This window comes from Homo sapiens, chromosome 3 (assembly GCF_000001405.40).
Source record: "Homo sapiens chromosome 3, GRCh38.p14 Primary Assembly".
NCBI classification, from domain to species: domain Eukaryota; kingdom Metazoa; phylum Chordata; class Mammalia; order Primates; family Hominidae; genus Homo; species Homo sapiens.
This window is the reverse complement of record NC_000003.12, coordinates 163,376,154-163,402,158: the sequence shown is the minus strand read 5'-3', so window position 1 is coordinate 163,402,158 and position 26,005 is coordinate 163,376,154. Positions and strand designations below refer to the sequence as shown.

Below are 26,005 nucleotides of genomic sequence, written 5' to 3'. Positions count from 1 at the left end.
TCTCCCATTTTTATTGAAGCACTACTCACACTAGCTAAATTATAGAATAAAATTGTGTCCATCAATGGATGACTGGATAAGGAAATGTGGTATATATACACAATGGAGTATTATTTAGTCATAAAAAATGAAATCCTGTCATTTGCAAAAACATGGATTGAACAGGAGGATATTATTCTAGATGAAATATGCCAGACACAGAAAGACAAATATCACATGTTCTTACTCACATGCGAGAGCTAAAAAAAAAAAAAATGATTTCATAGAGATAGAGAGTAGAATGATGGCAACTAGAGACTGAGTGGGAAGGGAGGTAAAGAAGTGTTGTTTAATGGATAGGAACATTCGGTTAGATAGGAGAAATAAGATTTACTGTTTGGTGGTACAATACGGCAATCACAGTTAATAATTTATTGTGCCAGGCATGATGAGTCACATCTGTCATCGCTTGACCCCGGGAGTTTGATACCAGCCTGGGCGACATAGTGAGACCCCATTCTTTTTTACTTTAAAATATACAATAAATTATTATTGTTATTATTATTGAGACAGTGTTCCACTCTGTCACCCAGGCCAAAGTTCAGTTGGTGCCATCATGGCTCACTTTAGCCTCAATCTCCTAGGCTCAAGTGATACTCCTACCTCAGTGTCCCAAGTAGCTGTCTCAATAATAAAAATTATAATAATTTATTGTATATTTTTAAATAACTAGAAGAATGGAATTGGCATGTTCCTAATTCCAATGAATTATAAATGTTTAAGGTGATGGAAATTCTACCCTGATTTATTTATTTATTATTTTATTTTATTTTATTTTGAGATGGAGCCTCACTCTCTCACCCAGCCTGGAGTGCAGTGGCACGATCTTGGCTCACTGCAACCTCTGCCTCCCGGGTTCAAGCTATTCTCTGGCTCAGCCTCTCGAGTAGCTGGGATTACAGGCATCCACCATCAGGCTTGGCTAATTTTTGTATTTTCAGTAGAGACAGGGTTTCACCATCTTGGCCGGGCTGGTCTTGAATTCCTGACCTCGTGATCCACGCCCTTCGGCCTCCCAAAATGCTGGGTTTACAGGCGTGAGCCACCGCACTGGGCAGATTTATTTATTATACATTTTATACCTGTAACAAAACATCAAACATACCTTATACATATGAACTATTATCCATAGAAAAATTTTTTAAAGAAATGAGCTATTAAGTTGAAAATGACATGTAGGAATCTTACATGTATATTTCCAAATACAAAAGACCAGACTAAAAAGGCTTCATAGTTTATGTGTTTAGCCTTATGACATTTTGGAAAAGGCAAAACTTCAGAAACAGTAAGGTCAGTGGTTGCCAGTTTTTTGAGGGAGAGTAGTGAAGGAGGGATGAATATGTAGAACACAATAATTTTTTAGGAAAGTAAAACCATTCTATATAGTACTGTAATAGTGAATACCTAATGTTATGAATTTATTGAAACCAATACTGTACAACACAAAGCTCGAATCCTAATACAATCTATGGAATTTAGTTATTATTAACGAATCAATATTGGGTCATCATGTCTAAAAATGTACCACAGCAGTACAAGATGTTACTAATAGGAGAAAGGATGGGTTGAAAGAGGATGTGTAAAATGACTCTGTATTACCTGCTCTTATTTTAAATTTGAAAAGTAATTGAAAAATCAGTAGAGAAGAAAAAATTATCTTGACTATCCCTTTTTATTATCAAATAAAATAAAAAAATTCAGGCTAATGTTTAAAATTAGCCTGATTAAAATAAAAATTCTACAGCTTGAAAAATAATGGGGTTTATATCAAGAATGCAAGGTTAGTTTCAGATATTACAATTAATGCCCTTTACCATGTTAAGAGAATGTAAGAGAAGCAAGCATAGGATCATTTAAGTAAATGCAAATAAAGTGCTTGAATTTTAAACAAATTCTATGGAAAACTCGTTGGAAAATTAGAAATAGAAAAAAAATGCTCAGTGTTGAAGAAATTAATGATTTTAGCCTAAAATTTTGAACAAGGTAAGCATGTTCATTGCCACCATTTTTTTTCAGTTTTGTACAAGAGGTTCAATCCTAGGCAATATAAAAAGAATGACACTGACTGTGGTTAAGACAGGATTATTCTTTATATAAGATTTTTTCCAAATTTTTAAAATTTTTGGTCAAAAATACACAACATAAAATTTAACAGTTTAACCATTTTAAGTGTACAGTTCAGTGATATTAATTACATTCAAGTTTTTGGGCAACTTTTCCAACTTTTTATTATTAATTTTTTTAAGCTGTGGCCTTCATTGTACTATTCTTTGACTTTTTCCAAAACACACAAAATTTCAAAGAAAGAACTCAGACTTTCTTTTTGTATAGATGGCATAATCATCTCTATAGATAATCCGAAGCAATTAATAAAAAAAGCTAGAGCTGAAAACTAATTTTATTGGGTAACAACAACCAAAATCTAATACACAAAAGTCAGTTTCGGTGCTACACAATATGAATGGTGAGTTAGAAAATAAAAGTTAAACTATCACTCACAAAAGCATAAAATTAAAATTTTAAAAATAATTTAACCAGGGGTTTATAAATGTGCTTACTGAAAATTAAAAAGAAAAAAGCTATGAGAAATTAAATTTGGAGTGAAGAATTAAATATTCAATAATTGGAATATTGGTGATGTAAAGATGAAAATTCTTCTCAAATTCATATATAGATTAAATGTAAGCCTAATTAAAATTCTAGCAGAATTATTTAAAAATATGAGCTGAATCTAAAATATATATGGAAAGGCAGAGGTCCTTAGATATACATAATGATTTGATAAAAGAAAAATATTTGGAGGACTTACATTACCTAGTTTTAATACTTACTGTAAAGTTATGGGGAAGAAAATAGTGTGCTATTGGCATATGAATTCATATACAAATAAAACAAAGTGGAAAGTATAGAAATGCATCCACATTTGCATGTTAAATCGTCATTCTACAAAGATACCAAAGGTTATTCATTTGAAAAAGATGTCTTTAAAAAAACAGTGCTGAAAAGCAAAGCATGACATCTGCATTGACAAAGATTAACCTCAATCTTCTTCAATATTAAAAATCACAGTATTAAAAACCTTAATCTGTAAAATCTCATTGCTAAAATAAATCAGCTCAGAATCAATCATAGAACTAAAAGTAAAAGTTAAAACTTTAAAATTGTAGGCAAAATACATACATTTTTAGGCAAAAGTATTTTTAGTTATGGGTCAAGCACAGATTTATCAAATAGGACACAAAGTTATGAACAATAAAGTAAAATAAAATAAAATGTATAAAATAAATATTATCAAAATAAAACTAAAAAAAGTTTGCTATTTAAAAGACACGTACGAGAAAATAAAATGACCACATAGTTGGGAAAAAATTAAATATGCATAATATATTTATGCATATACATGATTCTATATAAAACTATTATAAACATGTAATATGCACAATATGTATAAATATAATAAATAGTTACATAATATGCACAAATATGCACATTTATATGCAAATATTTTTCCATATTTATATCCAGAATACATAAAGAACTCTTATAATCAATGATTTAAAAATACAATTTAAATTGAGCAAAATGTGTGACAAGATACTTCACTATAAGTGATATACCACTGGCCAAAAGGAACATGACAAGATACACATCATCACTAGTCATCAAGAAATTGCACATGAAAATCAAAATATAGTATTACTGTTCATCCAATAAAATGTGTTCTGAAATGAAATTGACACACAATATCAAGTGTTTGGCAGTGTGTATAATATTAAACACTGTGTGACCCAACAATACCATTTTGGGTATTTATCCAAGTGAAATGAAAAGTTATGCCCTCAAAAACCTGTACTCAAATGTTTATAACAGTGTTGTCTCACAATTGCCAAAGCTGGAAACAACCCAGTTTCTTCAACTGGCAAGAGGGTAAAGAAATGATGACTATTGACATATGGGACCTAGTTAAACTAAAGAGCTTCTGCACAGCAAAAGAAACTACCATCAGAGAGAACAGGCGACCTACAGAATGGGAGAAAATTTTTGCAACCTACTCATCTGACAAAGGGCTAATATCCAGAATCTACAATGAGCTCCAACAAATTTACAAGAAATAAAACAAACAACCCCATCAAAAACTGGGCGAAGGATATGAACAGACACTTCTAAAAACAAGACGTTTATGCAGCCAAAAAACACATGAAAAAATGCTCATCATCACTGGCCATCAGAGAAATGCAAATCAAAACCACAACGAGATACCATCTCACACCAGTTAGAATGGTGATCGTTAAAAGGTCAGGAAACAACAGGTGCTGGAGAGGATGTGGAGAAATAGGAACACTTTTACACTGTTGGTGGGACTGTAAACTAGTTCAACCATTGTGGAAGTCAGTGTGGTGATTCCTCAGGGATCTTAGAACTAGAAATACCATTTGACCCAGCCATCCCATTCCTGGGTATATACCCAAAGGATTATAAATCATGCTGCTATAAAGACACGTGCACACGTATATTTATTGTGGCACTATTCACAATAGCAAAGACTTGGAACCAACCCAAATGTCCAACAATGATAGACTGGATTAAGAAAATGTGACACATATACACCATGGAATACTATGCAGCCATAAAAAGGATGAGTTCATGTCCTTTGTAGGGACATGGATGAAGCTGGAAACCATCATTCTCAGCAAACTATTGCAAGGACAAAAAACCAAACACCACATGTTCTCACTCATAGGTGGGAATTGAACAATGAGAACACATGGACACGGGAAGGGGAACATCACACACTGGGGCCTGTTATGGGGGTGGAGGAGTGGGGAGGGATAGCATTAGGAGATATATCTAATGCTAAATGACGAGTTAATGGGTGCAGCACACCAACGTGGCACATGTATACATATGTAACAAACCTGCACGTTGTGCACATGTACCCTAAAACTTAAAGTATAATAATAATAAAATTTTAAAAAAAGAAATGATGGATACTATGCAGTAATATAGATGAGTTAACTGTTAATATTCACAAATGCATGGATGAATCTCAAAGGCAACAGGCAAAGTGAAAGAAGCCAGACCCAAAGACAGCATATTTTACAAATCAATTTTTGTGGAAATGTAAAATACAAAGCAACAGGGATGGCAAACAGATCAGTGATTGCCAGGGTTAGAGATGGGGATGGCATTTAACCACAAAGAGCAATGCAAATAAATTTTGGATGGTCATGGGACTGTTCTTGATTTTAAGTGCACTGGTAGTTACACAATTTTACATATTGTACTTAATGCTGCAGGGCTGTAGCCCTCAAAAGAGTAAATTTTACTGTATGTGAATTAAAAGATAGCTTTTTAAAATGTAAAAAATAGTGCATAATTTCCCGTTTTTTTTCTTAGTGTGTCTTCCTTGCACCTTTCTCCACACTTTCTCTTTTCAAACGGAGGCAAATGTAATATACAAGATTGTAACTTGCAGTGTCCTGACATTAAAAAAAGATGGTATACGCAAATTGAAATTAAGAAAAATTTAGTAAAATGATTTACAAAATGTTGGAAAGGATTTAGGTAAAATGACCAAACAAAGGGTAATCCAGCAGCCTGAAGTTAGTAATGGAGTGATCCATTACCAACTTTGGGCCTGAAAGAACAAAGGGGGAGGAATTACTGGACCTAGAAAGAAAGTCATCTGGCAAGAGTTAACTGAAAAAAGCTCTGAACCTCAGTATAGGGAAGCACTCTACCTGGAAAGCCCCAGCAGAGGGGAACAGGTATAAAACTCTGAATTCTCTCTTCTTCCTGCACGTAATTTCCACTGGCAAAACTTAACTAGAAACCAGAAAGCCAGAAGTCCCACTGATGCAATCTATGCAGGTCAGCCTCACCAAGGACAGAGGCAAGTGGAAAATGATAGTCCATTTTGGGCAAATGGAAGACATACAGCAAAGCCATAGCATTTCCAATAAAGATACGGAGGAATAGAATCCATAATACTAAAAGAAAAATACAGTAAGATATCTAACATGTAATTATCTCATCTTTCTGTAGCTCCTAAAATCCTCTTATTATTTCAGAATTGTCTACTCACACTAGCATTTATAACACTAGGAAATTATGTGTAGCACTGCATACTATAACTTTACTTTTAATAAAGGATACATTTCATAAACACATGCTAAAATAATCCAATATATATAAATTTTCTAACTTTTTTGTGAAGGCTATATGAGTAGTTTCCCTGGGCTTCTTTTAAAACAGACTATTCTCTTCCATATTGTATTTCCCAACATAAATTTATATCTAACAATAGACATTTCTTTTTTCTCATTTTAGTAGAATATTAAGGTTTTCTAGATGTAAAATTATATCACTGGCAAACAGAGATAATTTTACTTTCTTTTTTCCAATTTGGATACCTTTCATTTATTTCTGTGGCCTAATTTATCTGGTTGGGGTTTACAGTACTATGTTGAATAAAAATGATGAAACTGGATATCCTTGTCTTGTTCCTACTTTAGAGGCAGTGCTTTCTACTGACTTTTCTCCATTTAGTATGATGTTGGCTGTTGGACTGTCACAAACGGCCTTGATTATTTTGGGGTTTGTACTTTCTATGTGTAGTTTTTGGGGATTTGTATTATGAGAAAATGCTAAATTTTATCAGTGCTTTTTTCTTTATCTATTGAGATGATCAAATGTGATTTATCACATTTCTTGATTAATATATGTTGATCCACCCTTGCGTCCCTGGTATAAAACCCACTTGATCATGGTGTAGTATCTTTTTCATGTGTTGTTGCATTTTGTTTGTTGGTATTTTGTTTGAGAATTTTTGTGCATATGTTAATGGGAGATTTTGGTCTATAATTTTCTTTTTTGTTGTATTCTTGTCTAGTTTTGGTGTCAAGGAAATACTGGCTCATAAAAAGAGGGAGAATTCCCTCCTCCTTGATTTTTTTTGGAAGGGTTTCTGGAGTACTGGAATGACATCTTCGTCACATGTTTTGTAGAATTTGGCTGGTGCTGGGCTTTTTTTATTGAGATGCTTTTTATTACTGATTCAATCTCAATATTCCTTACTGATATTTTCAGATTATCTATTTCTTCCTGGTTCAATTTTGGGAGATTTTATGTTTTCAGGAATTCATCCATTTTCTCTAGGTTTTCCAGTTTGTGAGTGTATTGTTGTTCATAATAGTCTCTTATGATGGTTTGTATTTCTGTGTTATCAGATGGACATATTTTCATTTCTAATTTTCTTTATTCGGGTTTTTTCTCATTTTTTTGACTCTAACTTGCAGATTATGAATTTTGATTACCTTTTGACAGAATCATCTTTACATTTCACTGATCTTTGTGGTCTATTTAGGCTGTATTTCATTTCCATCTTCTTTGATCTTTTTTATTTTTTCTTCTGCTGATTTTGAGTTTAGTTTCTTCTCACTATTCTAATTCCTTGAGTTGTGTTGTTAGATTGTTAATTTTTAATAGTTCTATCTTTTTGATATAGATATTTAATGCTATGAAATTTTCTCTTAGCACTGCTTTTGCTTTGTGGTGGTTTTGGTATGTTGTGTCTTTATTTTTGTTTGTTTCAAATATTTTAAAATTTTTGGTCTTAATTTCTTTGTTGATCCAATGTTTGTTCAGAAGCATATTTATTAATTTTCATTTATTCATATAGTGTCTGTAGTACATCTTGGTATTGATTTTTAATTTTATTACACTGTAGTCTGAGAAAATACTTGATATGATTTTGATTTTTAAAAATTTGTTAAGACTTTCTTAAGACCACATGTGAGCTAAAATAAGGTTTATGTTGGAGAATGTTCTATGGGTTGATGAAAATAATTATATACTAAAGTTGTTAGGAAGAATATTTTGCAAATTTCTTCTAGGTCTAATTTGTCTAAAATATCATTTAAGCCTAAACTTTGTTTGATTTTATATCTGATAATCTGTCTAATGCTGTGAATGGGGTTTTAAGTCCCCAACTATTATTTTATAGCCATCCATCTCTCACTTTAGGTCTAATAATATTTGATTTATGATTCTTAGTGCTCTAGTGTTAGGTGCATACTTATTTAGAATTGTTGCGTTATCTTGCTATATTGATCCATTTATCATTACAGAATAACCTTCTTTGCCTTTTTTAATGGTTTTGATTTAAGGTATGTTTTCTCTCATATAAGTACAGCTCAATCTGCTCATTTTTGATCTCCATTTGCATGGAATATCTTTTTTCACCCTTATAATCTATATGTCTTCAGTGGTAAGGTAAGTTTCTTATGAGCAGCATGTAGTTGGATCATTTTATTTAATCCATTCACCAATCTTTGTATATTAAGTAGAGTAATCAATTTACACTCAAGGTTATTATTAATACATTAGGTTTTCTAAGTCCTTAATCTTGCTATTTGATTCTTTTTCTTTGTATGATTGCTTTATCAGTGACTTTTATACATTTCTGTGTTTTCATGATGGTGAATATATTCCTTTTGCTTCCAAGTGTAGGACTCACTTAAGCATTTCTTATAGGCTCATCCTAGGTTGGATCAATTTCCTCAGAATTTGTTTGTCTGAAAAAGACTACTTATCCTTTATTTATGCAAACCAGCCTTGCTGAATTTATATTATTGATTTAAAAATTTTCTTTGAGCACTTTGAATATATCAGTCAATTTCCCCCTGTCCTGTAGGGTCTCTGCTGAGATGCCCACTGTTAGTATGGTAGAGTTTCCATCTAGGTTACCAGATGCCTTTGCTGTTTTCAGAATTTGCTTTTTTAGTTTGACTTTAGATAGTCTTATTATAATGTGCCATGGCAAAGTCTTTCTTGGATTCTGTCTGCTTGAGGATTGCTGATCTTCATTTATATCTAAATGTGTAAATCTCTTCCTGAACTTGGGCAGTTTTTATATTTTATACTCTTATACAGGTTTTCAAAGCTTCTTGACCTCTCTTCATGCTCAGGAATACCAATAATTCATAAATTTGGTTGCCTTATGTTATTCCAAAGATTTTTAAGTCTTTCTTCATTCTGTTTAATTATGAAATCATTTTTTATGGCTGCATAGTATTCCATGGTGTATATGTGTCACATTTTCTTAATCCAGTCTATCATTGTTGGACATTTGGGTTGGTTCCAAGTCTTTGCTATTGTGAATAGTGCCACAATAAATATACGTGTGTACGTGTCTTTATAGCAGCATGATTTATAATCCTTTGGGAATATACCCAGTAATGGGATGGCTGGGTCAAATGGTATTTCTAGTTCTAGATCCCTGAGGAATCGCCACACTGACTTCTACAATGGTTGAACTAGTTTACAGTGCCACCAACAGTGTCAAAGTGTTCCTATTTCTCCACATCCTCTCCAGCATCTGTTGTTTCCTGACATTTCTATGATTTTTTTCTTTATTTTCCTCTAACTAGATTATTTCAAAATACTTCTCTCCTAGTTCTGAAATTTATTCTTCTGCTCAGTCTAGTCTATGATTGAAGCTTTCAAATGTATTTTGTATTATTATCAATAAATTTGTTAATTTCAGAATTTTTTGTTTATTGTTTGTTTACTTGTTTTTAAAATATCTGTCTCCTTGGTAAAGTTCTCATTCACAAACTCAATTAATTTTCTAACTTTCTGGTATTAGTTTCAATTTCTCTTGCTTCCCATTGTGCATCATTGAATACATATTTTATATTCTTTATCTGAAATTTTGAAGTTTTTTTATTAAGATATATAGGTGGATAATTATTTTGTTTCTTGGAGGTGTCATACTACTTTGCTTTTCATGTTTCCTATGTTTTTATTTTGATTTATCTGCACGTGGTGTGAAATTTTTTATTATTTATTGAATTTACTTATTTTTGAATTTACTTTTATTAAGGTGTACTTTTGCTTGAAGATGTGCCTATAATGTTGGTTGGGTAGAGTCCTTTGGTTTTGCTTCTGGATGCATGTCATAGTGAAGTATCTGTGTGATTTTTTTTGGCTATATGCAGTGTAGTGGTATCTGTGGTTTCCTCAATTCAGATTATTGGTTGTGGGGACTGTGGTAAAGTTGTGTTGAAAACTAAAATACCAGATGGGCCCATCTTCAGGTTTCAGTGGTGGGGGTGCTGGGTTAAGTACGTCTATTCTTGTGCCTTGGGCCAACACATGCTGGCACCTGTTTTGGTGACTCCAGGTATCCGAGCTCTTGGACAGACAGCATGTCATGTGCAATGGTGGTTGCAGCTGTGGTAAAATGTTCTTCTGGTTCCCAAGCACTGAACCTTGTGTTGTCTGTGGTTCAATAGGCTGTGTGGGTCAGCCTCCAGGCCAGTAGCTGTTGCTTGCAGGTAGAAACCAACTGAGTTGATAGTGGTAGAGGGTTTATGGTCAACATCAGTTCTCTGGGAAGAGTACTCCAGTGTTCCAGGTGGTGAATTGGGTTGTAGAGCCCCCAGGGCCCTGGATCTTACACCCTGTCTCACGGGAGGAGGCACAGCCTGGTAGAGCCAGGTGAGGTAACTTTTTACTCAGGTGTCCCAAATACAAATGTCTCCACCAGCTTTGTCTGGCAGAATGCTTGGGTGAAGGGTGACCACAACTGTGCTAAGGTCCTGCCACAGGAAGGGTGGGACTAATCCCAGTGGCCACAGATCTTACTGGCAGATGGGGGACTTCTGTCATTTTCTCATTCCAATCCTAATCCATTTGGGCTATTGTAGCTGACCTGGCTAGGCTGTCAGACCCAGGAGATTACATCTAGCCTGCAACTCAGGCCAGGCTGTGTGAGTCCCCATCCAGCTTAAGACCAAACGTTCACAGCAACTCTTGTCTGGTTTATGTCCTGGGGGCAATGCCCACTTCCGGCACTGCTGGCTATAGCCTACACTATATTTACTTCTCAGTTCTGGTTGTAAAAGCCACCTCCAACTCATGTCTTGGTTCCACAATTGCAGCCTGTTTCCCTAATGCATAGGATAGTGCCACAGGTTCCAAGGACTGCACACAGCCTGCTAAGTGGTAGGAATAAGGATCACATCTTGCTATAACCAGTTAGGTTTCAGAAATTGCATGGGATCCAGAGGGATTTCTCTCCCTGGAGAAGTTTCTTCTCACAGTCTCTTGGCTGCTCCCTAAGATTCAGGAATTAGGAGTGTCAAGATGCTCTCCTATGGCCTGGATGGCCTTATTCCCCAGTGGAAAGTGGACTGCAGAAAAACACTTACACATTCTTATCTGTACTGGGAAGTCACTTTGAATTCCCAGCCAATTCCAGTCACACCAATTGCCTGTTTCTTTTCTTCCTAGTTTTTGGAGTTTCCTGTTCTTTTTCTGTTGAACTCCCATGTTTTTTATTGCATAATGTATTGAAAGTATTATACTGTCTATACATTACTATGTTTTTCTAAGTGGATGAGATGTACTTGTAATACTTCTAATCAGTCATCTTAAACATTTTAAATAAGAGTATTATTGCTTTACAGAATAAAAGCATCTGTATACACTGGTATCAATAAATTATATAAATATATAGCTCTATACATATTTTATATTAAAGTATAAATAATGGATGAGGCCTTAAATAATAATTTAAACAATATCTGCCATGGTATCATGAATTTGCCATTTTCACATTAAATCTAATTTTATTATGCTTTGAGATTAATTTCTATAAAAATAGTACATTCTATTTAAGGAAGTTATTTTGGGTATATATGTCTTGATTAAGTAACATGAGCTTCAATTTTAATATGACTATTATAATTATATGGATATTATAATAATTTACACATTTCTAGTTTCTTATGTTCAGTGATGCACTAGATTCATTTATAGACACTTGTGACTATCAGCCACTGCTGAAAATTATGAGGTTCAGCATAATCTAAAGATTAAAACTGGAGCTCCTTCCATTACTATATTCAACCCAAATATCCTTCCCAGATTTGTCTTCCCATTTTAGGTAATCAAAATCATTATCATAATAGTAGTAATAAAGAAAAGAATAAAAATAAGAGAGAACTTTAGTCCAATTGAACTACATATCAACTACCATCTACATACTTCCTAGCCTCAGCTTGGTCTTGGTGTCAGGATTTCTTACGTCACTCTTTCTTGGAATACATATTTTTATAATTTCTGTAACTATTAAAATACATCTCGTATATCAAAGTCTAGCTCAAATAATAAATTTAATTATCTTTCTTCTAATAAAGTAAGATTACTTTCTGCTACAATGTCCCTTACTACATAAAATCTATTGTATAAGAGCTCCTATAACAGCTTAACATGTTATCAAGTTTAAATTCCTTGAAGGCAGGCATAATTTTCTCCATGTACATGTTAAAACTGCATTAAAAATGCACAGACATACACACATTTTAACACCTTAATTTGATTCAATTATATATCATTGTCTTGACTATAACTTAACTGAATATTTTTAAGGATCGTACTCTCCCATATTGTTTGTTTTTGAGAAATCTAATTTGCTCATGTGATTGAGCTACACATTGACAGTAGTGATTCATATATTCTCTTTAAAGCCTTAACTGGAGGGTCATCTTTAATCTCTATGCTTTTAAAATATAAATTTAAATGAGGTTTGAATATTATACATTTCTTTTTAGTAATACAATTTTTAATTTTTAGTTCAAAGTGACCCATACAAACCATCTTTTAGTTGTTTCTAAATTTGAGAATATATGTTTAAAATTAAGAAAATTATTTTCTCTAACAATTAACACTATTAACTCCTCTCCACTTCACAGCCCTGAACTACACTCTATAACTTTATTCCAGAATACAATATGACTTTAAATAGAACAAGTTTTATTAAATATAAACTACAGATTCTTACACACTCATGAGTTATACACTGGGAGAACGGAGAATAGAAGGTATTTTTAACAGACATCTTTTTCAGAAATAGCCTACTGATATCCTTTATTTTTTTTTACTAGGAGAAATACTATTGTCTGGGGGTTCTCTGGTCCTGTTTTGCTAAAAACATCTCTAAACTTTTAAGCTGTTCTTCTGATCCCATGTTACCCAGAGAGAAGGTTGATCTTTCAACTTATTTTTATTTTCTGCCTGCCTTTACAAAGCATTACATTGTATATCTAATGTTGATATCAGTTATAATAGATAGTAAGGGTAGATACTATACCAGACTCTTTTTCTACAATATTGGCGTTGTTAGAGAGATCAGCGATCTTGGAATACCTTTTACCTTACCTTGACTTCCTCTCTAAGTCATCTGTACTAGACTAACAGCTTGTGAGATAATGCATGATGTCTGTCTATATCCTGAATGTTCCTTAATATTGGTTCTTTAACTATTTTATTGTGCTTATTTGTGCCCATGTCTATTTGACTGTGTCTACCACGGTATTTTTCAACACATTTTCTGCACTGTGATCTCGTCCCTGTCCATGAAAAGGGAGAGTCAATTTGCCTGACCATTAAATCTGAGGAAAAAAGATATGTATAACAAATATGCTAAATAAGTAAAGGTGATAAATGCAACAAAGAATATGAAAAATAGGGCAGGGTATTGAAATAGAAAGGTGCAGGTGGAGGCCTAGATGTCACTTTTAAATAAAGAGGTAGAAAAGTCTTTGCTAAATGAATGACATTTAAGTAAAAACTTGAAAAAAAATGAGGAAGCTGCCCCCGTGGATATCTGGAAGAAGGCTGTGTAATTGATAATTTTAATTAATTTTAGTTTTTCATTAAATTTAACTTTCTTTTTCCAAATTCAGTCAGAAACTTAATCACATTTATAATACATTTTTCTAGCATTATTGATGTATAGTTGACAAAATAAATGTACATATTTACAGTGACAGTATATAATGTAATGTTTTGATATATGCATACATTGTGAAATTATTAGTATAATGGAGCTAATTAACATATCCATTACTTCATATCTTGTCTGTGTGTGTGTTGTGAGAACTTTTAAATCTACTGTCTTAGCAAATTTCCAATAAACAATTTAGTATTAATTATAGTCACCATGCTGTATATTATATGTATTCACTAATCTTGCCTAGTTGAAACTTTGTTCCCTTTGATCAGTATCTTCCCATTTCCCCACCTCCCCACTCCTCACAATCACTATTCTACTCTTTGCTTCTATATATTTGATTTTGTTTTGCTTCCACATATAAGTGACAGCATGCAGCATTTGTCTTTTTATGCCTAGTTTATTTCACTTAGCATAATATTCTCCAGGTTCATTCATATTGCCATAAGTGGCAGTGTTTCCTTCTTTTTTAAGATTGAAAACTACTTTAACATGTGTGTAATTTTCTTTATACATGTATCCATCAATGGACACATAGGTCGATTCCATATCTTGGATATTGTGAATAATGCATCAATAAACATGTATGTGCAAATATCTCTTTTACAATTTCATGGTATTTCTTTTGAATTTTTTCTCCAAAGGGATATTGCTGCATCATAGTAGTTTTATATTTATTTTTTTGAGGAATCTCCATACTATTTTACACCATGGCTGCTCCAATTGTATTCCCTTCTAAAAATGCACAAAAATTCCCTTTTCGGCACATTCTTGTCAACAAATATATTTTGTACTATGGTTTTGACTGGCATTTTGCTGGTGATTAGCGTTGAGCAATTTTTATATATCTGTTGGCCATAAGCCTTCTTTGAGAAATGTCTATGCAGGTCCTTTGACTATTTTTTAAATCAGGTTATTTGTTTCCTTGCAATAGAGTTGCTCATATTTCTTATAAATATTGGATATTAACATATCATCAGATGTATGACTACCAAATAATTTGTCCCACTCTATAAATTGTCTCTTTAATCTATTGATTTTTTTTTTGCTGTGCAGGAGCTTTAAAATTTGATGAAATTCCATTTGTCTATTTTCCTTTTTGTTTCCTATGCTTTTTGAGTTGTATGGAAAAAATCACAGCCCATCACTATAATCAAGAAACTTTATCATTATATTTTCTTCTAGGAGTTTTACAGTTTCAGTCCTTAATCCACTTAGAGATTTTTCCATATGGTGTAAGCCAAGAATGTGGTTTAGTTATTCTACATGTGGATATCCAGTTTTCCCAACCCATTAACTAAAGAGGCTTTCCTTTGTCTATTGTATGTTCTTGGAATGCTTGCCAGAAATTAGTCATATATCTGTGGGTTTATTTGAGGATTTTCTCATCTGATATACAATATATATGTGTGTGTGTGTGCGCGTGCATATATATATATATATATATATATATATATATATATAGCCTGCTTTGATACTATAAGTACTATACTGTCTTTATACTATATCTTTATAATATATTCTAAAATCAATAGTGTGATTCCTCCAGGCTTGTTCTTTTTGCTCAATATCGCTTTGGCTTTTGGGGATATTTTATGATTGAAAAGCATTTGGAAAACTTCAGCATCCCTTTCTGATTAGAATTCTAAACTAATTAAATATGAAGAAATGTACCTTAACATAATAAAAGGCTTTCCTGACAAGCTCAGAGGTAACATCATATAGAAATCTTTTTCTCCAAGATCAGGAATAAGACAAGAATGCCAACTCTTGCCACTTCTATTCAATGTAGTACTGGAAGCACCAGCCAGAGTAATTGGGCAATAAAAGATATCCAAATATGAAAAATATAAGTAAAACTGTCTCTGTTTGCAGATGACAAGATCTTATTATATAAAACCCCAAAGACTCCACCAAAAAGCTCTTAGAGCAAGTACATATTCCTGTTTTGCCACCTTAATAATCTCATAATTTGGAAAAATTATTTGTCTGGGTTTTAGATTCCTCACCTGTAAAATGTTAACATGAGGGCATACTTCATAACATTGTTGTGAACATTGTACATGTCAATATATGTAAAACATGTCCTGAAAGAGTAATCATGCAATTAATGTTATTTATGTTTTAATTATTATGTTTTAAAACTGCTAAAATATAAATGAAATCTATATATATTTTTATATATTATACATAATATATATATGTATTTACCATATTACATACAAAGATTTAAGTGAATAGTCATCATTTGGAAGACATATTTACAAGTGGATGAAAATTACAATAGTTAACATTTAGAAAACTTCCCGTGGCAGGTTTTGACATCAAGTTAATAAGAGTAATTAAAATCATACAAAAAAGGATATTTGTATAGTGGAATTCCATACTTAATAAGTCATTTTGTAGGGAAAAAAAATTTTCAAATGCAAGATACAAAGTGAATATGATAAAGCCTGACGATATGCACTGGAAGTGTAATCAAACTGCTTCTATTATTGGAATGCAAAAGATCACATTTCCAGAAATAAAGCAGAAAGGAAGAATTTCTCTAAAGTTGTTTAATATTTCTTAAAACCAATGTGGCTGGGCGCGGTGGCTTACACCTATAATCACAGCACTTTGGGAGGCCGAGGTGGGCGGATTATGAGGTCAGGAGATCGAGACCATCCTGGCTAACACGGTGAAACTAAAAATACAAAAAATTAGCCGAGCATGGTGGCGGGCGCCTGTAGTCCCAGCTACTCAGGAGGCTGAGGCAGGAGAATGGCGTGAACCCAGGAGGCGGAGCTTGCAGTGAGCCGAGATCACTGCCACTGCACTCCAGCCTGGGCGACAGAGTGAGACTCCGTCTCAAAAAAACAAAACAAAACAACAACAACAACAAAACAAAAACAAAAACAAAACAAAACAAAAACTAAGGAAGCCAATAGTTATAGGACCATAATGTAATTACTTGTAGGAATCTGTTCAATGTATTTTAATTATGTCTAATTTTGACTTATAAATAATGTAGAGTGGGGTTAAATTTTAAAAAGTGATATAGATCAAGTGGCTTCATATCAAGACTCCAAATGAAAACCTCACAGAGAAATGACATAGGCAGGAATACCGCTAATTGAAGATGATTGCTTCAAAAGGAAATTTAACTAAAAAAAATTCAGGTACTTTATTATTTTGGAAATAGACCTACTGCATTGTCTCTTTTGACCCTTACAACAGCTTGTAAGAGTGATGCTATAATTCAAATCCATGATTTTGAAGCTTGACTTATAAAATTTTCAGTTAATTTTTCAGAGGTCACACAGAAGTTCAAGTCAAGGTATATTTGCTACTAAAATCTGTGTTCTTGCTATGTTATCCAAATCAATAGAAACTGCTAACATCTGTAAAAATATGTGCTTATTAGTGCAGAGTCCAAGAAAACAACTGATCACTCTATTGAGTACCTCTCAATTATTCTCAACTAGTATGAATACTATTACCTTTTCAATGTTAGTATTACATTTTTCATATTTTACATCAATTATTATTCTTACTACTATAAAGACATATCTGGATATACTTGAAATACAAGAGGGAATATTTTTAATGTTTATGTAAAAGTGTTATTGAAGAAAAAAATGAAAATATTCTATGATTTCTACCATTTATTTAACTCCTAGAATATATATGACACATGAGATGTGTCAACTAGAGGCCATGTGCAAGAACCGGAAGTGGTTAATATCTGTTCTATAGCTTAGTAAGCAGAAGTTTTGTGAGTCTAGACATTCCAGGAAAACATGTATAAAGTTAAAGAGGCAGCTTTAAGTTTCAGACAGAGATCTGTTGCTATATACTCTGTGGACTTTTCATTGAATCTTACCCATGAAAAAAATGGTTTATCCAAAGTAGTGGATTCTAACAATAATTCTCTACAAAGAAAAACCATACTAGGACAATCACTGTAATTTTAATCTCAAGTAGTGATTTGTGTAGTTCAAATAGCATCATTGTATCAAGAGTGGAAGTAGTTCCATAGATTTAGCATAAGTAACCCAACAAAAGATGATTGTATGGGTGAGAGAGGAAATAAAAGAAAAATGATGGTGAGTAGTAATGAAAACAAAATTAATGTACTCAGCAGATTTGAACTAGAGGTCCAGGGCCCAGGAAAAGTTGAATATGTATTTGGATTCAATGTAGAATTGCTACTTCTCTGAAGCATGAAACTGTATTAGCACTACCTTAGTTTCTAGAGCTACAAAGTTATTAATTATTAGCAAATTTTGATTTTTAAATTTCAGCCACAGACAACTCACCTTGTTAGTTAAATACAGTGTAAAGAAATGCTTCCCTATATCTGAACCATCAAAGTAAGGAAATGCTCCTTCACTTTGCTTTATTACCCACAGTGACTACCCATTAATTTGACTATGATTGTTGTAATTCATGCTGCTTTCCTATAAGACCATCATCAGTATTTTACCCTCTCAGTTTCGTAGTTTTAATTGTGTTTAAATATAACTACCCTGTTAACATGGATATTTTCATTTCCTTTTAATAAAATGCCTAGTTGTTTTTCAACTATATTGCTGGTTGTTGTTTTTTATCAACCTTAATTTAGAGGTGCCATTTGATGTCTCTTAAATTATAAATCATTTTAAACACATAGTGAAGTATAGCAATTAATAGAAATTAGTATAACAGGTTTCAATGAATTCTAGGTAAATAAAACAAATGTAGAATATTAAAATATGTATTTTAGATATATAAAAATTACAGATAACTTCTAAAAATTACAGCTATTTAAATTTATCTAGTCCTGGGTTCTAGATGCAACTATTATAATAACAAAGCTAAATAATGTCAGATATTATAAGCTATTTTTAAAAAAATGTTTTAGTTTTAAACCAAAAAGAGATGGAAAACTATTGAAAAAAATTGAACACATCAGGAATGTGATCTGACATGTTTCACTGTAAAGTATTATATTGAAAAGGGACTAAGGTGAAAATGGGAGAGAGAGGAGTGACCAGTTAGGAGGCTACTGCAATTTTGTAGGGAAAGATAATGAAGATAAAACTGAATAATAATTGTGAGAATGGTGAAGAATAATCATATTAAATATGGAGATTATCATATTGATTGACCTGATTGATGGGAGTTGTGGTACAAAATTAAGGATTTAAGGAGATGAGACAATTATATAATAATAATTATATAATAATTGTGGGAATGGTGAGGAATAATCATTGAATATGAAGATTATCATATTGATTGATCTGATTGATGGGAGTTGTGAAGCAAAATTAAGGATTTAAGGAGATGAGACAATTATAGTTTGTTTGTAGTTTTGGATTTTTTTGTCTTCTCAATCTGAAAGGATGGTGTTGCCATTAACTGTGATGGGGAACACTGTGGTTAGAGTAGTTTATAAAGGAAATGTTAAGAAAGCATTAATGATAGTTTAATGTATTGTTATTTGCCTTTTGGGTCTTTAGTTTCTGTGAAATATTTCTACTTAGAAATTCTTTTTAATACCCTGTCCTGCACTATGTGTTATGACATAGAGTAGAACAAATGGGAAAACAGAGATTATGAATAAAAATCAAGAGTGCTTAAACGCTCTAGTATTCATTGTTAGAATGCATATAACACAAATATAAAAATCATATATGTACAATTTTTTACATTTTTTCTTTAAGGAAAAAGTCAATTTGTAAGCATCCTAAAAGTTTTAAAATGTGGCTTATATTCCCATTGTTTAGTGATTATTTGGCTCCAAAGTAACAACACCTACTAGAAATAAACCCTCAGGAAGCAAAGAATATATGTCATTCAAAAAAATATCCACAGAAACCTTAACTCCTAGATAAATGCAGAAGATTCCTTCATTACTTTTCTCTAGATCTCCATGCACACTTGTTCTACCTGTCATCCAAACAACGACAGTATCATCCAATACAGTGTTTATTTTTGGCATCTTCAACTACTTGAAAATACCTATCATGACAGCCAGATATGGAGATGTTAGCTTATGAATGTACAAGACCTTTTGAGCTTGGATTTCTGCAAACAAAATCCACGTTTTGGGGAAGGAAAATCTAATTAGTTCAAGATAGCTATGACACTGGTCTCCAATGGTCAAAGCTAGAGGATATGGGGGCACTCACAGGAGACTTTTGTTAAGAAAGAATTATAGGTAGGGAGGAAGTTATTAACATCCTAGTGTAAATTATAAACAATATAATTTTATCATTCAAAATAAAGCAGAAAAAACATATATTTATTAGTATACGAATTCCCTATATTTGGTGCTACTTTTAGAGATAGTGTTGATTATTAATTGCTATTGTTTACTTCTTTTAGTTATGAATAATTTCCCTGATATGTAATTTAGGATAGTGCTCAACAATAATCAAACAATACTATTCTTGGACATATATATTACAACTGATAACGCAAAAAAGATTAATTTTTATTTTTGCTAGAAAACATGAGGTAAATTTCTTCAGCCACTTTTGAGTTAAACCAGATGTAAAATAACTATGTTTCTTTAAGCTCCTACAGAAATTTTTGTCATGAAATCACTTCGAGTGCAAAAGGTCTAAAATTGCAAACACTGCATGCACTTATTCTTCTCCAAGAAATTGTGGAAATTTAGAGTTAAAAACAAACAAACTAGAGCATTGTTGAGTTTAACACTGATTTTTCACAAGTGTATGCCTAACAGTCTAATCTTTAAATTGTATTTTCATAGTACTTGCAGACTGCTAACAGGAAAACCATGAGGTAGTCTAATATTCTTTTTATCTTGGGGTTATAAACATTTAATTAAAGTTATTATTCTTTAAAAATTAATGCTGAAAAATTAGGATAAAATGTGGGCATATAACAGCATTAGTTTTCATTATTATAGGATGCAATTCCATTAGGTTATTCATAGCAAATTGTTAGTAAATAATGTCTTTAATTTATCAGAATAATAAACTTTAGATTTTGCTTGAAAAAGGCCCAGATAATAGTGATATATAGCTTAATATTTAAGTTACCTTTAAATCACAATTTTCCTTTTTTAAATTGTATTTGCATAATATATGTGACATAATTAATGTGACTGTTAAGTTTCACACACATTTTGCAGAGAAAACTCACTCTTGTACTTATATCCTTTTTTGTGACATCTCTAGAGTCTCCTTTTTAAAAATTGTATTATTCTTCCTTCTGCTATTCACTGTTGTCACTATAATAAAACAAAAATATAAATTCATTTAATGTAACTGATAATTTCGTATCTGAATCATTTATATTCTTTTTTTTTTTTTTTTTTTTTTTTGAGATGGAGTCTTACTCTGTCACCCAGGCTGGAGTGCAGTGGCGCCATCTCAGCTCACTGCAACCTCCACCTCCCGGGTTCAAGTGATTTTCCTTCCTCAGCCTCCCGAGTAGCTGGGACTACAGGCACCTGCCACCACGCCAGGCTAATTTTTTGTATTTTTAGTAGAGACAGGGTTTCGCCATGTTGGCCAGGATGGTCTCAATCTCCTGACCTCGGGATCCTCCCACCTTGGCCTCCCAAACTGCTGAGACTACAGCCGTGAGCCACCACACCCGGCCAACATTCCTATTCTTTAGTTGCCAAATCTCTTGAAGCTGGTTTCCCTAACTTCTTATATCTTGGGTTCAGTATCTTTCTCAATGAACACACACACACTCATGCATCACGTAATGACAGGGATATTTCCCAAGAAATGTGCTGTTTGGCAGTTTTGTCATTGCAGGACCGGAAGTTGCTCTGCGTGAGTCTGGAGTCAGTGGTGAGTGAACGCAAAGGCCTAGGACATTACTGTACATCACTCTAGACTTAGGCTACACTATATTTGTAAAATATGTTCAGTCTTCAATAATAAATTAGCTTCCTGTAACTTTTTACTTTATAAATTTTTAACTTTTCCACTCTTCTAATAATGGCTTAAAACACAAACATATTTTACAGCTATACAAACATTTTATTTTTCTTTATATCCTTTGTCTATAATTTTCACCTCCAAATCCTTCACCTCCAAATCTTTCGTCTTTCACCTCCAAATCTTGTCCCACTGACAATAACGCAGAGAGAGCTGTCATCTCCTATGAGAGCAATGCCTTCCATAATACCTTCTGAAGGAGCTGACTGAGGCTGTCTTATAGTTTATATACATATATAGTTTTTATGTATAGTGTACATATATATACACATACACATACAGACATATATACATATAGAGGTATATGTTTTATTTATATGTATGTTGGAGTGCACTCTGAAATAAAGATAAAATGTATGCTATAGTAAATACATAAACCAGTAACAGTCATTTATTATCATTATCAAGTATTATGACTGTACATGATTGTATGTGCTATACTTTTATATGACTGGCAACACAGTATATTTATTTACACCAGCATCACTGTGAACACATGGGTAATGAATTAAAGTACAATGTTATGATGGCTATGATATTACTAGATGATAGAAAATTTTCATCTCTATTGTAATCTTATGGGACCACCATTTATGAAGTTCATCTTGACTGGAATGTTGTTATAGAGCACGACTGTAATTTAATTCAGATTCAGATGAGTTCTTCATTCAAATTCAAGTAACACATACTGAGCACTTATTTGGAACTGTATCATACTGTACAGGGGTTTTACTAATAAGTTAAAATAATTATAAGTTTCTATTAAGCAAACAAGCATTTTTGAAATTTGTGAGTATTTGGCCTAAACAGAGCTGTGTATTTCATTTAGGTTTTAATATGTATCAGTCAGATTCCAATCATGAGAGAGAAATTGCACAATCATTTGAACTGGAAAATTTTAATGTAAATAATTGATATATAAAACAAGCAAATAAAGTGATAAGGAATTGCCTAGTAAGAAGTTAAGAGAGCTCTAAAAAGATGAGTATAGCAGACATAAAGAGCAGTCATTACCCCTACAGCTAAGATAAAGCATTCATGAAAGACACTTCCTGGTCTTAGAGCTAGACCTTGTTGAAGAGATTTGTAACTCACTGAATGGCAGAGAGGTTTTTGTGGTTCTCTCAATGAATCTTGCTGGAAAACATCCATTTGGAATTTGTAAAAAATCTGGTCTCTCTAGTGTTTAAGAAAGATGCTCATGGAGTGGTGCATCACTAGAGACATTTGTCGGTAAAACTGTTTAAGGGGGATGTGGTGGAAAGCTACTCACCACTGGGTGTTTGTTTCATACTGGTTGCTACAACTTTAATTTATTCAGTTAGACATTAAATTTGCATATTTCTAGAGGCTATCTCTATTTCTCCATACCTATTTCCAAAACATTTGTATAGTTTTGATCGTCTTAAAGCTCCATTATTTCTATGTACCCACTGCACTTTTAATTTTACAGTATTCAATTGAAATTATTTTAATTCTACCTTTTCATAATGAAAAGTTTATTGAAAACTAAGGATTAGGAAGTTTTGCTTATGAGTCTTAGCTCTATCACTCGTATATCTTACTATTCTAAGAAAATAATTTTCTCTCTCCAGATTTTAGTTTCCTCCTCTCAAAATGAGTACTGAAGATTCAGTATTTATGGTGCTCTCAATTTCTAAGTAGAAGGGTAGTTGATTGATAGGTAGGTGGTACATGTTGTTACTGCTCTTCAATACTTCTAGTTTTCTTTCCCAAATGGGGATACCAGAGAACTAAAGTTTCTAGTTACCTTGAAGTTTGGCATAGCCAGATGTCTTCATTAACTAATGAACTATGATCACAAGTATGAATACCGCTTGTATGTGAAAGTAGTTAAGATCATTTTTGCCATGCCACTACAATCTTAAAATTAAGTATTCATATGGTAGCATCCACATCAAAGCAGCTTGGAATAATTAACCAACATAGAGGACAATTTCTATAGAGAGTTACCCCAACCACCATGGACTGCATGTAAATGTGAAATAAATTTTGTTATTTGATGAAAATGGCTTGTTTGATATCACAACATAAGATAATTTTTAAAAATCTAGTTAGCTAGATGAGAAGCTAGAAAGATATACAATAGGCAGATAGAACAGTAGAAAATGAATTATTGAGCCCATGTGATAATGCCAGACTCCACTCTTAGTTTTAATTAAATCAACTCATAGATATTTACAACATCCATTTGAAAATGTACATTTATGATTTCTATTTTTGAGAAATATGTGAGATCAGTAATTTTTTCAACTTTATAGATCAAAAAAAGTCAGGATCACATTTAAAAAATATAACTCCTGCTCTTAGCCATTGATGCATAAAAATATGGACAATATTCTCTAAATAGATTTACAAATAACTTATTCGGGTGGCACAGCAAAAGATTTAGGGACAGTTTCTCACATGTAATGCAGCATGAGTTTAACCAAAAGTGTTATAATGAATCATTAATATGTCATCAGGTATTTGGCAAATTTCAATATCTCATCTATTACATGTTGAAACTACTGTGTAAGATGGTACAATAATTATATGAAAGTAAAGTAACAGTTTGATAAAATAAATAGTTTAATATATATTGAAGGTTGTTCTTTATTTTCAAATTGTCCTCCAACATGATCTCTCAATATTAATTAAAATAATAGCAGTTGACAGCCTGGCACGGTGGCTCACACCTGTAATCCCAGCACTTTGGGAGGCTGAGGTGGGTGGATTACCTGAGGTCAGGAGTTCAAGACCAGCTTAGCCAGCATGGTCTGTACTAAAAATACAAAAATTATCTGGGCGTGGTGGGGGGGTGCCTGTAATCCTAGCTAGTTGGGAGGCTGAAGCAGGAGAATCGCTTGAACCCGGGAGGTGGAGTTTTCAGTGAGCCGAGATCACGACACTGCACTCCAGCCTGGGCGACAGAGCGCAACTCCATCTCAAAAAAATAAATAATAAAATAATATCAGTTGACAAAGCCTTAGTCATATTGGACATATCTATAAACCTAAAATAGCAAACAAAATGCAATTCAAGTGAAAGTCAAATTTGTGTGAAAGGCATAATATTTAGAATTGTCTACTTTGAAAATTACTGATTATTTTAAAATTAGAGCAAACTTTGGTTTGGCCTAGAAAATGTGAATCTAAGCATTTACAGTAAGGTGCTATAGTCTGTCACCTTATAAGAAATTGTACTACTTGTGTTCATTTGCAACATTACTCCACATTAGACCTCACAGTGGAATAATCTCCAAGTGAATTAAATAGATAAATAAGAGACAATTTTTAAACAGGTTATCCTTATGTGTTTCTACATAGAAGATTTATTAAGCCTAATGAAAGTTTTAAATAAAGTAGGGGAACAATTTGGCAAATTTTACTGCAAGTACATAAAGAGTTTTTGAAATATTATATATAAATAATGTAAAAAATTGGCTATATATCAAATTTTTGTCATCTACATAATGTCAAATGCAAAAATTAACATTTATTCTAAAATCATGCTTACAGCAATGACAGGAGAAACAAAATGACAAAGAAGTAACTAATAATTATCCAGCTGCTAATGGTGATGAAGAAGGTTAAGTTGATAATAGTGTCCAAAATATCAACTTAGACACAAAGTAAGCATCCTTTGTGTTGGAGTTCACATCCTCTTGAGAGGTTGAAAGTTTAGATTAGTTAAACTCTAGATTAGGCTGAAATAGGCTAGAAAGAATATCCTGTCCTGGGACCCAGCCAGCTCTTTCTGCTTCTCTGATTACAGGAACTTCTTTGGTCAAACACACACACACACAAACACACACACACACACACACACACACACACACACACAGAGAAAAGATAGGCTTTGAAAATACAGACAGTGGCCAATGTTAAATGAAAAATTTTATCTTTTGACAGAATATCTTTTAGTATTTGAGAATAATGGAGACTTTTCAATCAAAGACAATTACGAATGGGAGTATTTAATATTTCTCACTATTATTTTTTATGCAAAACCCTATGGGACAGAATGCTTAACAGAGATAAAATAGAAGAGATAATAAGCCAAATACAGACAGAAGCTGGGACATTATGAGTACATTCAATTATCTTATTTAAAAGAAGATAACTTAGCACATGTATTTTCTCCTTCCTCTCAAAGGATACTTGAAAATATTTTTTAAAACAATTTTAGCATTATTTGGACATAGGGTGTTTTC

The 26,005-nt window shown here is 32.7% G+C and overlaps 1 long non-coding RNA gene across 2 annotated transcripts in view; it reads right to left on the bottom strand.

Annotated features, from left to right (window-relative positions):
• Positions 1-20,996: 20,996 nt before the first annotated feature.
• Positions 20,997-26,005, bottom strand: part of LOC105374188 (uncharacterized) — a 76,972-nt gene continuing 71,963 nt past the window's right edge. For both annotated transcript variants that reach the window (XR_924654.1, XR_924655.1), the window contains one exon: positions 20,997-21,065. This is a non-coding gene — a long non-coding RNA (uncharacterized LOC105374188). The remainder of the gene's footprint in view (positions 21,066-26,005) is intronic.